The sequence below is a fragment of the Homo sapiens genome, chromosome 9, assembly GCF_000001405.40.
Source record: "Homo sapiens chromosome 9, GRCh38.p14 Primary Assembly".
NCBI lineage: Eukaryota > Metazoa > Chordata > Mammalia > Primates > Hominidae > Homo > Homo sapiens.
Genome location: NC_000009.12, coordinates 4674849 through 4690405, shown reverse-complemented (window position 1 = coordinate 4690405; position 15557 = coordinate 4674849). Strand labels below are relative to the sequence as shown.

Below are 15557 nucleotides of genomic sequence, written 5' to 3'. Positions count from 1 at the left end.
CAATGCACTGCAGAGATCAGCCAGCCATCAAGTAGCAGGTTGACTACCCTGGTCCCACTTCATCTCAGAGGGACTGGTAATTCCTCACTTGAACGAGCCCACTCTAGATGTGGAAGTGCCCTCCCTCCTTGCCATGCTTCTAATCAGTAATACATCTGTAGTCTTACTAAATGAATTATTCACCATACCACACTATTTTTTGACCCAGAAACTCATTTTACAGCAAAAGAAATGAAGACTGTAGGGTTCATGAAATTCACTGTTCTCATCACGAACATCACTACCCAGAAGCAGGTTTTATAAAATGCTGAAGATACATAGTGCCAGATGGGTTACAACACTTTGTGATATTTGGATATTTTCCTACACAAAATTGCTTCTGAACAAGGCACTCAGCTTACAGCAAAAGTGAAAGAACTGCTTCTCATTTACTAGGTTTCTCATGGCTTCAAAGCAACCAACTTTCAGAGTGCCAGCTGGGTGAAAACACCTTGAGGAATGTTGTTTCACCAGATGCAGTACATGCTCTGAAAGAGCAATCAGTATATGGTACTATTTTTCCTTCAGCAGCAAAACATGGGCCTAGAAAGCAAGGACTGTAGGCGGGAGTGGCAATTCACATATCACAACTAAGATTCATGTGCAAATTTTTTGCTTTCTATCCTTATGACTCAAGGCTCTGCTCATTTTAAGATTTTACTATCTGTCCAAGGGAGGCCTGTGTATTCATTTTTTTTCCATTATAAATAATACCACATTGATTATATGTAGAAAAACTTTGTCTTTATTTCCTTGGGTACTATTTTTTAGTTAAACACAGTCTTTTTTCTTTCTTTAAAATGAAAAGTATGAGCAAAGTGAATATTTTACGAATAAATTACATAAAAGGAAGGGAAAAAATTTAAAGTAATATTTATTATATTGACATAACTGAAGCATAAACGAAATTCAAAAAACGTTGGGTAAATAAACACCAACAGGAAAAAGATTTCAAAATGCCATGTAAAAAGTTCATGAACATATTACAAATAAAAACCATGTTTACTAAATTAACATACTACTTGGAATTAAAAAAAAAAAAAGTTTTAAACCTTAACTCCTAACACTTCCCAGCAGCATTTTCATGCCAGCGGTATCATGCTGCCTATAATTCTCAGAACACACCATGCTGTTTCCTAACTGCCCGTCTCATGCTGTTGCTGTTGGCTTGCCTCCCTTATACATGAAAAACTCCTATCTGTTCCTTGAAATCAAGCTCAGATGCTGGCTCCTCTGGGAAGCCTTCACTTGTATCAACCCCCCTCTTACCCTTTTTCCCCAATAGAAAAAACCTATTTTTCAGTTCTTTATATATACATTTCTATTACTATATTTATCTGAGTAACAGTTCAAGGATCTGCCTGAATTATAAAGCATCATATCCAAAACCTGAAAAAAAATGAATAATCTTTAAAACATAAGATAATCAGATTCCAAGGAAGCAAAGAGGAAAAAGAAAAAAGCAAAGACTACTTAGGAAATGGAAAGAGGCTATGGAATACATAAAGTTGTCTTAAAGGTAGTACACTATATAATAATACTTTTGCTTCTCTTTACCATTTGGTTTGCTCTGTCAATTAATTTTATTTATAACCAAAAAAAAAAAAAATTCTAAAACAAGATCTATACAGCTGTGCCAGAAGCTACAAAATTGGAGTTTGCCACTTTTCTTTTTGGCTCTCTTTTTATAAATCCATTTTTTGCACATGTACATATGATACCAAACATTACAAAGAAGGAAATCCAAGTAGTAGACTTACCAAAATGTCTGATTTTTTGCTCATATTTTTGCATAAATGATTCTGATTTATCTTCATCTTCTGTGTCTTTTCTTTTATCTTGATTAATAAAACTCTAAGAAAAAATTTTAGAAATTTAAATCAGATTTTAAATTCTAATTGAATCTTCTTTCTCAGATACTGAATATCTAGCAATTCTTCCTATAGACAATATATGTGGTATAGTATCATACTGATATTACATGATTAAATTCATCTGGTAAACTATTTTTAAAAATTAAAATTTTCTTGTATGGGAGTCTTATTAATTTTGTTTAAAATGATGTATGAGGCCGGGTGTGGTGGCTCACGCCTGTAATCCCAGCACTTTGGGAGGCCGAGGCGGGTGGATCACGAGGTCAGGAGTTCAAGACCAGCCTGGCCAACATAGTGAAACCCCGTCTCTACTAAAAATACAAAAAATAGCTGGGCATGGTGGTGGATGCCTGTAATCCCGGCTACTCGGGAGGCTGAGGCAGGAGAATCTTGCGTGAACCCAGGAGGCAGAGGTTGTAGTGAGCTGAGATCATGCCACTGCACTCCAGCCCAGGCGACAGAACAAGACTCCATCTCACAAAAAAATACATACGATATATGTGTGGATATAGGTTCATCTTAGAAATCATACAGAAAAACAACTGAATTAACCTTTTTGGTAAGCTGAATTTCCCAATTAAAAGCAGGTATAGAAACATCCTTTATATTTTATATGCATAGTTTACTTGTGCATTATTTAATTCCTATAAATATTTGCAACTCTTGCCTAATCTTTCGAGTTCTTGCTGGAAATAAACTCAGAAATTCAAAGCACATAGAGAATAAATGATATTTACCGTAAATTCTTTATTAAGACATAAACAAGAAATAGACTGTTGTTGTTGCGTGTCTTTTTTTTTTTTTTTTTTTTTTTGAGATGGGGTCTTGCTCTGTCACCCAGGCTGGAGTACAGTGGCACAATCATAGCTCACTGCAGCCTCAACCTCTTGGGGTCAAGTGATCCTCCCACCTTAGCCTCCAGAGTAGCTGGGACTACAGGTGTGAGCCACCATACCCAGCTAATTTTTAAATTTTTTGTAGAGACGTGGTCTTGCTATGTTGCCCAGGCTGGTCTTGAACTCGTGGGTTCAAGCAATCCCTTCACCTTGGCCTTCCAACGTGCTGGGATTATAGGCATGAGCCACTGTGCCTGGCCCTTTGTTGCATTTCTAATAAACTTCTTAGAAGAGACCAAACAGTTTGATTTTTAAAGTCAAGTACAAATTTCTATTAAGGAAGTACTTATTTTCAGTTAAATAAGTCATAAAATATACCAAGAATAAAGTTTGTATCTAGCTAGAAAAACTGGCAGAAGTTTCTTAGAACATTCTGTGATCATATTTATACCCCGTTATCATCACTGCCAAAAATAAAAATTGCAAACTAGATCACTGCCAGTTTATAATCAGGAAGCACTCAAAAGTTTACATATTTCAAAATAAAAGATTTTTTCTTCATGCAGTCTGACATCTAGACCAGCACTGTCCAATAGAAATACAATCCAAGTCACAAATGTAATTTAAAGTTTTCTATTAGCCACGTTAAAAAGCAAAAAGAAACAGATGACATTAATAAATTATTTTATTTATCTTAACATATCCAGCCTATTATCATTTCAACATGTAAGCAATACAAAACAATTATTAATATTTTACTTTTTTTGGCACTACATCATTGGAATCTGGTGTGTATTTTACACTTACAGCACATCTCAATTCGGACTAGCCACATTTCAAGCACTCAATAGCACATGTGGCTAGTGGCTATCAAGTTGGATAGTGCAGATCTAGACCAGTCCTCTCAAGTCTCAAGCTCCCAGACAAAACCAGTGTAGGATTTTGAGCAAATGACTGGAACATAAAGATAGTCCTAATTAATTTGTGAGATAAATGTAGGCTGTCTTAGAACCTTAGAACCTAAGTTTAAAGAAATAATTAAAAGCAGAGACAAAATGAAAATATTTTCTTTGTGACCACTGTGTTAAAGAAGAGACATTAACTTTACAAAACAAGAAATATTACTTTGAACATTCCTTCTGGAAGAAAAAAAATTATTTTCAATAGTTTTGGGATATAAATGCAGAACAGAAAATAACACAAGATGCACCCCTTAAAACAATATATACAGATATAGCAAATGACTCAGATAAAGAATGATCCCATTGTGGAGGGGGAGAAAAAGTATATATAAATTAGTACAGGCACAGAGAAAGTCGAGAAAGATATGACTCACTGTTAAAGTACTGATAGGGCTAGTGGCGATGTACACTTATCTGTGTGTGTTACTGACTGCTGTAGCAGAACTAGAGCTGGTCCAGGGAAAGGCAATTAAAAAAGTTCATGAGAGTGGGTGAAAGCAGATGCCAAGAGGACAATTAAGAAGTTTGAGATGTGTTTCACTGTTGCCCAGGCTGGAGTGTAGTGGCACGATCTCGGTTCACTGCAACCTCTACCTCCTGGGTTCAAGTAATCCTCAAGCCTCAGCCTCCGAAGTAGCTGGGACTAAGGCAATACAGGCACATGCCATCATACTCAGCTAATTTTCGTATTTTTTATAGAGACAGGGTTTCATCATGTCAACCAAACTGGTTTTGAACTCCTGGACTTAAGTGATCTGCCTGCCTTGGCCTCCCAAAGCGCTGGGATTACAGGTGTGGACAACTAAGCCTGGCCTATTTTTCAATAAATATCATTTTATTCCACATTTAAAATACTAGTTCATGAAGTTTTGCCTTTTCTCCCCTTTTCATGCATTTGAAAATCAATCGCTAAAAACTCTAGTTTTCAAATGGAAAACTGAGGTATAAAACCCTGAAGTTTGAAAAACATGAGATTTTAAAAGTCTAAGCCTTCATTCTTAAAGGCACTTAATAAAGGATATTCAACACTTCTCTTTATCTTATCTCTCAATCCCAGAGTCAGGAATTTCTCACATTTAACCCACCACTAAGTTATCAAGTCACTCTACTTATTTTTCCACTTAGTTTCTTCATTTATAAAAAGAAGGTAGTTGCATTAAAGGAACTCTAAAGTAGTGATAATCAGTGTAGGGGGTACAAAATATATGTGGAGGAAAATATTTCATAACTGATATATTTTCCCATCCTTATATCAAATTCTTGTGAATGTTTTTTAATATATGTAATATTTGTTCAGCAGTACATTTATATAAATATGTATTTCAGTCTGGTCACTTAACTGCCTGGAGTCTGCAGCTCTACAGCAAGAGCTTTGAGACTTTTTGACTTTCATAAACTTTTCAAGCACCTTTCATAAACTGTCAAAATTGAACACTGTTTATGGGATTCTGCTGCTTTGCTACCAAATACGCACAACTGGTTTGTACAAACACTTCAGTTTTTCTTCTTTCATTATGGCCCAGTAAAAGCTCATACCTTATTAAAAACATCCTTGCTAATGGCATCCGTGCTCCACAGACACATCTTCTCTCTTTGTACTAGAGCTTCTTCTTTCTGTCGCCACTCTTCTTCCCGTTGCCTCAGTTCTGATACTGCTGTTTGTGCTTTGGCATGCTCCTGATCCAAGGACTCAGAATTATGCAGTGCTAAGCTACCAAGTTTCTGTTGAGCTTCAGCAAGATTCCATTTGCACGCCACAGAGCTCTTCACAAACTCTTTCTGCTTTTGGCAAGCCAATTCAATTCCATGGCTATACATCTGGATAAAAACAATATTTGTAAGAAATGAAGAAAGCAATGGATGTTTGTGCAGCACAGTTCAATTTTTCTTAATTCAAAGGATTTCTGTACAATATTTTGGTATATAGTATATCCTGTGTTCTAGGTCTGCAGTCATGTTTTTATATCTTAGTCCTTGTTTCATCAACTAACTTCTAAACTTCTTTGTTAATTTAGGCCTATCCCCTGACAACTAACAGCAACAAAAAGCCTGGCAACTATCACAGTGTCTTGCATAAAGCTAGTGCTTAACAAACGTTTAATTAATAGTCTTCATAATCCTGAACAAGCAGAATAATGAGAACAAAGCTTAAATCTAGTTCATCACCTCAATACTCAACATGCTGACAACCAGGCCTTTATAATTTTGTTCTCCAAATTCTTCACTACAAAAAAACCTCCTTTTATCTAGAAGTAATCGTTTCTTGGTTTCTATTTTCTATCTGTATTTTTCCAATCCTTGGTGATTTGAGAAGTTCTTATTGGATATTTCCATTTATAACTGATTATATCAGACAGATATCCTTTAATTTATTCCTAATCAAAATAGGCAAATTATATATATATATATTTTGTGATGGAGTCTTGCTCTGTCACCAGGCTAGAGTGCAAAGGTGCGATCTCAGTTCACTGCAACCTCTGCCTCTGGGGTTTACGTGATTTTCCTGCCTCAGCCTCCCAAGTACCTGGGACTACAGGCATGTGCCACCATGCCCAGCTAATTTTTGTATTTTTAGTAGAGACAGGGTTTCACCATGTTGGCCAAGATGGTCTTGATCTCTTGACCTCGTGATCTACACACCTTGGCCTCCCAAAGTGCTGGGATTACAGGCATGAGCCACTGCGCCTGGCCACAAAGTTACATTTCTTAAAAGTGACAATGGTCTACCCTGCTGACCGTACTACTCCGAAGCAGTAGTAATTACTTTTATTTACTTAATTACTACATGTAAAGTACTGTGATAGACATTCAATACCCTATATTCCTTGGCTCTATAAAACAAAAGCTGAAGGCACATTCTTTATGAGTTCTTCGTCAAATGTACATCAACTTCAGAATAATTTCTCTCCAATCTGTTCCCATATCTGCATCACTATTCAAGCCCTTATAATTTCACATGTGAATTATACAAATGCAGACTCTTATCCCAAGCCGTTCTCCACTCCACTAGACTGGAGTGATCTTTCCAAAAAATGAATCTGATCTTTTTTTTCATTCTTAGCTTTGGGATAAAGTACATACTCTGTGGCAAAGCCCTTCGTGATGTTATTTCCCATTACCTCTTTAGACTCAGTTCCCATTGCTCTTCTACTTGTTTGCTTATTCTTCCCTTTCCCACCCTTGTCCCTCACTTCAATTTGGCAATCCTCTTTCTTCGAGGTAACTCCTACAGAAACTCCTATCTTCATCCAGATTCTGGCATGCCCTAAACTTTTTCTGACCCAGTGTCTCCCGACCCAAGTTATGCATATTTCTGTTGTGGTGTTTGTCATACAATATCATGCTTATTTGTTTACTGACTGGTGGTGGTAAACAATTCTGAGGCAAGTAGTAACCAAGGACCCTACCTCTTAGCTGAGTCTTCAGGCAAACTCACGTTTGTACTGGGACAAATGTGGACACTTGCTATTCAGATGTTTTATTTACTCATTCAGCAGGTTTGGAGCCAAGGTACTATAAACCATGTCCCTAAGTATATTTTATAATATATATTCATATATTATAAAATATATATAAAATATATTTTATATATAAAAATAAAATATATATATAAAATATATAAAGTATATTTTAAAATATATTTTAAAATATATTTTATATATAAATATAATATATATTTAATATATATATTATATTTTAATATAAAATATTTTAATATAAAATATAATATTTTAAAATAAAATATTTATTTTTACTTTTTGTTATCTTAGAATAGGATCAAGAATAGTTATCTTAGAATAGGATCAAGAATAACTGTAGACTAGCTATGCTTAAAACAGAGCCAGGAAAAGGAGAAAAATTAAGCTATATAACTTATTTTGTAAGAAAAGATGTAAGAACTTTTGTATATAAAACTTCTTTTGGCTGGGCTCAGTGGCTCACGCCTGTAATCCCAGCACTTTGGGAGGCTGAGGCGGGCGGATTACCTGAGGTCAGGAGTTCGAAACCAGCTTGGCCAACATGGCGAAACCCCGTTTCTACTAAAAATATTTTAAAACTTAGCTGGGCATGGCCGGGAGTGGTGGCTTACACCTGTAATCCCAGCACTTCAGGAGGCCGAGGCGGGCGGATCACGAGGAGGAGCTCGAGACCATCCTGGCTAACGTGGTGAAACCTCATCTCTACTAAAAATACAAAAAATTAGCCGGGCATGGTGGCGGGTGCCTGTAGTCCCAGCTACTTGGGAGGCTAAGGCAGGAGAATGGCATGAACCCAGAATGGCAGAGGTTGCAGTGAGCCGAGATTGCACCACTGCACTCCAGCCTGGGTGACACAGCGAGACTCCATCTCAAAAAAAAAAAAAAATTAGCTGGGCACAGTGGTGGGCACCTGTAATCCCAGCTACTCAGGAGGCTGAGGCAGGAGAATCACATGAGCCTGGGAGGCGGAGGCTGTGGTGAGCCAATATCGTGCCATTGCACTCCAGCCTGGGCAACACAGCAAGACACTGCCTCAAAAAAAAAAAAAAAAAAAGAGAAAGGATAATATATCAAGAAAAGTAATATGGTAATATGGATAAATAGAAATTATCTTGCATTTTCAAATTATTTGGGAGCAAATATTCTTTTCTCAAATCGAAAAATTCTAAAAATAATGTATGTCTTATTTCTCCACAAACTACCCAGACAACATTTGGCCATTTGGGCAAACTATCCAACATGTATTCAGATATTAAATAAAATATTAGGTCACATTCTAATCCATGACCATACAGAAGTTTTAGAGGGACATTAAACATGATCTGCCTTTACATTAATTGGATCTAAGAACTACATATCACATACTACATTAAGAAGTCTAGATCCCCCTTATTTGATAAAATTAAGCCAAAGCTTTTTTTAGGATTATAAAATGTTAATCAATTAAACATTTTATTTTTTCCAAATATTCCAATCCAAAAATTTAAGTCTTAAAGCCAGTAAGACCAATAAGTAGGTTTGTAATAAACACATGAACTCAGAATTAATAATCAGTTTGCAAAAAAAATTTTTTTTTTTGAGACAAGAGTTTCGCTCTTGTTGCCCAGGCTGGAATGCAATGGTGTGATCTCGGCTCACTGTAACCTTTGCCTCCAACAATTCTCCTGCCTCAGCCTCCCGAGTAGCTGGGATCACAGGCATGCGCCACCACACCAGGCTGATTTTGTATTTTTGGTAGAGACAGGGTTTCTCCATGTTGGTCAGGCTGGTCTCGAACTCTGGTGGGCAGTGCAGTAGGTGGGAAAATATACTGGACTAGGAGTCATAAGTGGGTTCTAGTTTTAACCTGGCCACTAACTAGTTACATGGCCTCAGGGAAAACACTTTTAATGAGAGAGATAAGCTTACTCACTTCTAAAATCTCTTCCAGCTAAACAAATTTAGAAGTGCACAAGTAAGAAATTAACATACAGATATTTCTCTAGATTACTTCTGTAATTCAACCACAATGCACTGAAATTCTTGACACCCTTTTTTCTCTTCATATGCCTTCAAAATTGACAATGGCATCTGCTGTTCATTCTTCTTTCCTCCCTAGCACATCATGTGCTTATAATACATTTTGTATATAAAGATGACACTAGTGATCCAAAATTAGTGGGTGACTAATGATGGACCCATCAACTCTCATTCTGTCCTCCTAAAAAATGTCTTGTAGTTCCCCAGTGACTTAGCTGGCCAAAGTACAGACAGTGGTTATGAAACAGCATTTTTCTCTGTGTGAAGCCAACTAACCCTGTTAGCTGGACATAAGATTGATAATGTCACGCTTACTGGTAAGCAATTTAACTCATTCTCATTAACATCTAGCAAAATAAGTTGAGAGGAAAACTACTATTAAATCTGTTACACTCTTGGGAACCCCATTTTGCAAGAAGGCGGCAGACACTTATGATCCATTGAATATATTAGTGTTTAGTCTGTGATTCTGAAATATACTTCCAAAACACACACGGATTCGGAGAAAAAAACAGGACAAGGTGATGCGAGTATGTAAGTATCCCCTAAGATAGGTCCCTGAAAAATCCTTAATAGTATATCACATTTGGATACGTTTCAGTCGCAGGAAGGCAGGAATGCTGGATTGAAAACACAATACCAGGAACCTAAGAGAAGTCTGAAGGAAAACACAAGTATATGCGTATATATTTTCACTGGAGAATGACGTGAAGCAAAACTAAAAAACAAAACAGTAAGGCAAAGATGGTCACGCGAATGGGAGAGGTGTACGCCAGCGTCAAAAGCGAGATTTAAAGAATTTACTCAGTTGTCAACATCGGTGAAAATCGCATGTGAAATCTTTGTCAGGACTCAGTGTGATGCTGAACTACAATCATTCACTGTTCCTAGCAACTGTGCACAAGTATGCTAGAGCCTTTAACAGAATAAAGTGCTTGGGGAAAACCTCTCACAAGAGGACAAAGGGTCAATGTTACAGCATGAGCCGCCCCAAATCTGAGTGCTGTCAGGAAGGGGAGATGGAGGAAGGTATTCCAAGAGTGAACAGGAATCAGCCAAGGCGAAAGAAAACATGTGCGTGGAGGTGGAGGTTGGTAATATATGGCCACCCCGTCTGCCCTCCGAAGATGCCATAAAAGGGGTGGGATGGCATCAGGCGTCAGGTCCCAGGTCCCCGGCCCCTGGCAGTGAGGTGGGCGTAGAAAAAGGCGTAGAAGAGGGTCTGGGAGACGCGGCATTCCAGGGGTTTGGCGACAGCACCACTCCATCCCTCCGCAGAACGCAGGCCCCTTCTCACCTGGGCGCCGCCGCCTGGCAGCTGCGGGCAGCGGGGAGAACTGGGGAACACGTCGAAGTCACTCTCTTCCTCAGCCTCACCCTCGGCCCGAGGGAGGCTCCAGGGTCCCGGAGGCGGCCACGGTTGTTCCATGTCCGGCTGCTCCGGGTCCTACAACCGCCCTTGGCCCTACAACTGCCACTGCCAACAGACTTGGCGTGAATGGAACCTGCTGCGCCGAGCCAGAAGCCCAGCCGGGGGTCCGGGCCGTTACCCAGAATCCCTCTACTGGCCGCGACGCCGCTGCACACCCGGCGACAGCCTGGGCCTCGCCACCGGCGGACGGCGGAAGAAATAGTCGGCGCGGTGCGTCACTTCCGGTTGGGGCGGGGCTGTGGAGGCGCGTCCCGGGCCCTTTGCGTGTAGTGGGTGGATCTGCAATTGTATTCCTGTTTCAAGCCCCGTTTTCTTGCAGCTCTTCGGCACTGCAAACCTAACCGCTAATGGCGCTGTGGGTGGAGAAACGTTTGTTAGGTAGCGTTATATATTGTTATCTGGTGTTCCCTATACCGAAAACGGCGGGTCCTGGCCGCCGGGAGGTACTCAGACCAGGTGTGCACTTTACATGTTGCTTAAAAATTGCAACTCATTCCTTTACATTGACATTTAAACCAGTGATTCTAAGGCAGAGTTGGGGCGGAGGGAGGAGAATTTTGAACAAGCGGAGCCAATTTTCGTCTCATTTCTAATTACAGGCAACAACAGAATTCTGCGAAACTTGGTTGGTTGGAGGAGCACACCAAAAATAAAGTACCGGAGCCGGCACGGCTTCAAAAAAATTAGGATCAGTACCGCTAGTAGCGAACGCATAAGAAGGGCTTCCTGTATGCCTGCGTATCTTGTTTAAGCCTAAAGATATGTACTCTCTTTATCCTCTTTTTTTGAGACGAGGAAGTAGACCCAGCATGCCCGAGATCACACATTTTACAAGGAAGAAGTAGGATCCAGACCCAGGGAGTTTAACTTCAAAACTTGAACGTTTAACAATCAGGTCTTGCTGCCCTACTCATAAAGAGACCCAAATAAAAACAACATGACGCCATTTTTTTCCATGTGTTTAGACTGGCAAACTTGTGAAGTCGCTTAATACCAAATGTGTACCAAGATGTAAGGAAATGATGTGAGAATGTCATTAGTATAACCTTTTAGGAGGAGTAATTTGACAATATGAGAGGCTTGAGCGGATTGATTCAGCAATTTCACCACTAAGAAAGTATGCAACAATTATTTTTGCACCAATATCCAAAGATTTACTACAAAGATTTCTGGCAGCAATTTTTGTGTGTGTGTGGCAAGAAAAAAAAAAGCATTCTAATTGTCCATCGATAGAGGAACTTAAAGTATGGAATATTAATACAATGGCATATTACCCTTTTTAAAAAAAGTAAATTGTATCTGAATATGCTGATATATAAATACCTCCAAAAGGTATTGAGTTTTAAACAAAGCAACTTGCAGAATTAAACATATGCGTACGTATACAGAGAGAGAAGAGAGAGGGATGGTATTTGTTTGCGTCCGTGTGTGTGTGTGTGTGTGTGTGTGTGTGTGTGTGTGTTTGCGCAGAACATTCCTGGAGGATATGCAAGAAACTGTTAATGATTACCTCTGGTGGGTGAGCCTAGGAAGGAAAGCTTCTGAGGATCTTTACTTTCCACATTTAGCTTCCCTGTACTGTGCTGTTTGAATATTTTTCCAATGAATGTATACTATAATTATAGTATTATAACAGTACAAGATTATAACAGTACAAGATTACTATAAAATTAATTACAAATAAAAGCTGAGAATCACTTTTGCACCTAAACCTTTTGAATTTAGGGGTGAAAGTCACAGGAGAGACTGGAAAGGGAGGAAGAAAAGAAAAACATTTTTCTCTTTGCTTCCATGAAGCCACAAAGTGCTTTGAATAGTGCCTGGCATAAAGTAAGCCCTATATAAACGCTAATGCTGTTAGTTTTTCTCCTACCTCTTTCACTACTTCTCCTCAGTCTTCTTCCCTTCTAGCTGACCTCTAACTTTAGAGTTCCTCATATTTTGGCCAGTGAGGAGAATCCTGTTTATTCCTGTGGCTTTAAATAACATCTGTGTATCTATAATTCTCAAATTGAAATCCAAGTCCTGACCTTACCCCTGTGCTCCAGACTCATGTCTACCCGCTGATTTGTCATCTCATTTTAATGGTTCATACACATCTTAAATTTAACACATCCAAACCCTTGATCTCACCGCCTTCCCCAAACTTCTTTGGGTCTTCTCCGTGTCAATCAATGGCATCACCATCCAGTCCAAAACCTAGAGTTCAGCCTTAGTTCCTCCCTCTCCTTTACCTCTCATACCAACAGCAAGTCCTACTGTTTTTACCCCCAAATACATCTTGAATCTATGTTCTTTCCTGCTTTACTGCATACTCCCTAGGCCAGAACACTATGATTGCTTCTCAGAACTACTGCAGTAGTCTTCCATGCTTCTGTTCCATTCTTGCTCCTTACAATCTCTTCATACTGTTGCCAGAGAGATTTTTAAAAAATACATAAATCATATCATGTCTCACCCCTGCTATATCAATTATATGCTTTCAATGCAAATAACTGAAACCTCAGCTAAAAGAAACCTAAACTATAAGGACATTTATTGTGTATGTAACAAAAAGAATGATCCCAGGATAGGCTTAGCAGTTTGAAGATGTCATTAAATATTCAGGTTCAGGCCAGGCGTGGTAGCCTACACCTGTAATCCCAGCACTTTGTGAGGCCAAGGCGGGTGGATCACTTGAGGCCAGGAGTTCGAGACTAGCCTGGCCAACATGGCAAAACCCCGTCTCTACTGAAAATACAAAAATTAGGCAGACCTGGTGGTGCATGCCTGTAATCCCAGCTACCCGGGAGGTGGAGGTTGCAGTGAGCTGAGATCACAGCATTGTACTCCACCTGGGTGACAGAGCGAGACTGTGTCGCAAAAGAAAGAAAGGAAAGGAAGGGAAAGGAAAAGGAGGGGAGGGGAGGGGAGGGGAAGGGAAGGGAAGGAAAGGAAAAGGAAAGGAAGATTCAGGTTCTTTCAATCCCTATCCCTCCTCCCCAGCATCCTAAATCTGTTTACTTTCATCTTCAGGCTTCTTACATCATGGTTGCAGGATGGCTGCTACAGCTCTGGACATCACATCAAAATATGGCAGAAGCTAAAGCAGGAAGACAGAGAAGGAGGCAAAACAGCTTTATTCACTTGTGGCTCTCATATGAAGAATAAAGATATTTCTCGAAACCTTCTAGTGAAATCCTTATATCTTATTGGCCAGAACTGGCTTACATAAATTATGATTTGTTGTCTGGAGCTGGATGCATTGCTACCTAAACAAAACTGGAGTTCTGTTAGCAAGGAGGAAGAGTTTGTGGCAGTAAGGTAGGCAATCACATTCTCTGCCATAATTGATAAAGTTCCTGTGAAACCTAGTGGCACCCTAATTCCTGAGTGTCATTCCTTTCTTTTTTTTTTTTGAGATGGAGTCTCGCTCTGTCTCCCAGGCTGGAGTGCATGGACTGCAGTGGCGCCATCTCAGCTCACGGCAACCTCCACCTCCTGGGTTCAAGCGATTCTCCTACCTCAGCCTCCCGAGTAGCTGGGATTACAGATGTGCACCACCACACCCAGCTGATTTTTGTATTTTTAGTAGAGACGGGGTTTTACTATGTTGGCCAGGCTGGTCTCGAACTCCTGACCTCAGGTGATCCGTCCGCCTCGGCCTCCCAAAGTGCTGAGACTACCGGTGTGCACCACTGCACCCGGCCCTGAATGTCGTTTCTTAAACCCTCTCCCTAACACCTTCCTTGCCCTCTCCCACCCCAAAATCTCTCTTGGACTCCTTTCAGTTCCTCAAACATGGCAGTTCCTTTCCTAACTCATGGCCCTTTCGAGTTGCTATTCCCTTTGCCTTTTCTCTTACTTTGAAAGGCTTGCTAGTGGTCATGCTTTTCTTCTTAGATCTTAGACCAAATCTCATACTCTTAGGCCAATCTGGCCAGTGAGTCTAAATGAAGTTCTCGTTTCTTCTTCAACCTGTTCTATTTTACCACCTTGTATATTTCCTTTCTACTATTCATCATACTATTATTTTATGTTCACTTAGTTATTATGTTTCTTACCCCAATAGAATGTAAGCTCCATGAGAGCACAGATTGTTTCTTATTCACTCTTGTACTTACATGGCTCAGAACAATACCTGGCTTACAGTAGACACTCAATAAATGTGGGCTGAATAAATGGATAGAGAATGAATGAATGGAAACAAGGATAAAAGAAAAGGTTAAATAAAGGCAGAAGGTGGTGAAAAAGGAATAGAAAGAAGTATATTTTGGTAGGAGATAAGGAGTGGATATAATGATATCAGAAGTAGCCTCATCTTGAGCCATTGCTGACTTCAGGATCTGAATCCTGTGCCCTGGCATAGTAAACACTTATTTTTGGAAACAGTTCTTGCTATGTTACCTAGGTCGGTCTCAAACTCCTGGGCTCAAGAGATCCTCCTGCTTCGGCCTCTCAAGTGGCTGGGATTACAGGCATGTACCACCACGCCCAGCTCCAGTAGACACTTTTTAAACAAGTCTTGGAACTTAATCATACACTTCTACTTTCTTATTTTGGATAATAAATAAAATTCCTTGGAAATTGCTTTGGGTCATAATTTGCCTATTACTCCCATGGACATAGAGCTAGCCAGCTGAAACTCAAAGGAGCAAATTAGGTTTTTTTCTGAGTAGAAATTACTTTTAAATGGAAAGACTATGTAGTCCAAAAAGCCCAAGGGCAGCCCTTGTGGAAGGACTTGTGTTGCATCATTATGTAAGCATTGAGCCTACAAATGCCAGTAAATGAAAGCACAAGCCAAAGAGAAACATGAGTCTGACTCATAAACTCTAATAAAGTTGGGTGAAACAGAACCCATGTGTGGGTCCACATCCCAAATGACTTCAAGATTGTTAAAAGCTGTGCAATTGCAATTTGATTCCTTCCTTGGA

General features: G+C 39.5%; 1 protein-coding gene and 1 long non-coding RNA gene across 4 annotated transcripts in view, besides 1 other annotated feature; one reads left to right on the top strand and one right to left on the bottom strand.

Moving 5' to 3' along the window:
- The window catches only part of CDC37L1 (cell division cycle 37 like 1, HSP90 cochaperone), a 28831-nt gene extending 17994 nt beyond the window's left edge, over positions 1-10837 (bottom strand). For both annotated transcript variants that reach the window (NM_017913.4, XM_047423583.1), the window contains exons 1-3: positions 10507-10837; positions 5248-5529; positions 1800-1893 (exon numbers count right to left, since the gene is read on the bottom strand). In NM_017913.4, coding sequence (NP_060383.2) covers positions 1800-1893; positions 5248-5529; positions 10507-10638 — 508 coding nt within the window. In that variant the 5' untranslated portion in view covers positions 10639-10837. The remainder of the gene's footprint in view (positions 1-1799; positions 1894-5247; positions 5530-10506) is intronic.
- Positions 10614-10703: an enhancer, noted in NCBI's record as "active region_28148". NCBI's record gives its function as "activates an Ori minimal core promoter by ATAC-STARR-seq in GM12878 lymphoblastoid cells {active_cell/tissue: GM12878}" and the evidence as "EXISTENCE:reporter gene assay evidence [ECO:0000049][PMID:35858748]".
- Positions 10838-10925: 88 nt separating the features above from the next.
- On the top strand, positions 10926-13806 carry CDC37L1-DT (CDC37L1 divergent transcript). Of its 2 annotated transcripts, none has more exons than NR_121598.1 (2): positions 10926-11019; positions 13657-13806. It is a non-coding gene; the product is annotated as a CDC37L1 divergent transcript (long non-coding RNA). The 2 variants fall into 2 exon arrangements; NR_121597.1 differs by having other exon boundaries at positions 10926-11097.
- The last annotated feature ends 1751 nt before the right edge of the window (positions 13807-15557 follow it).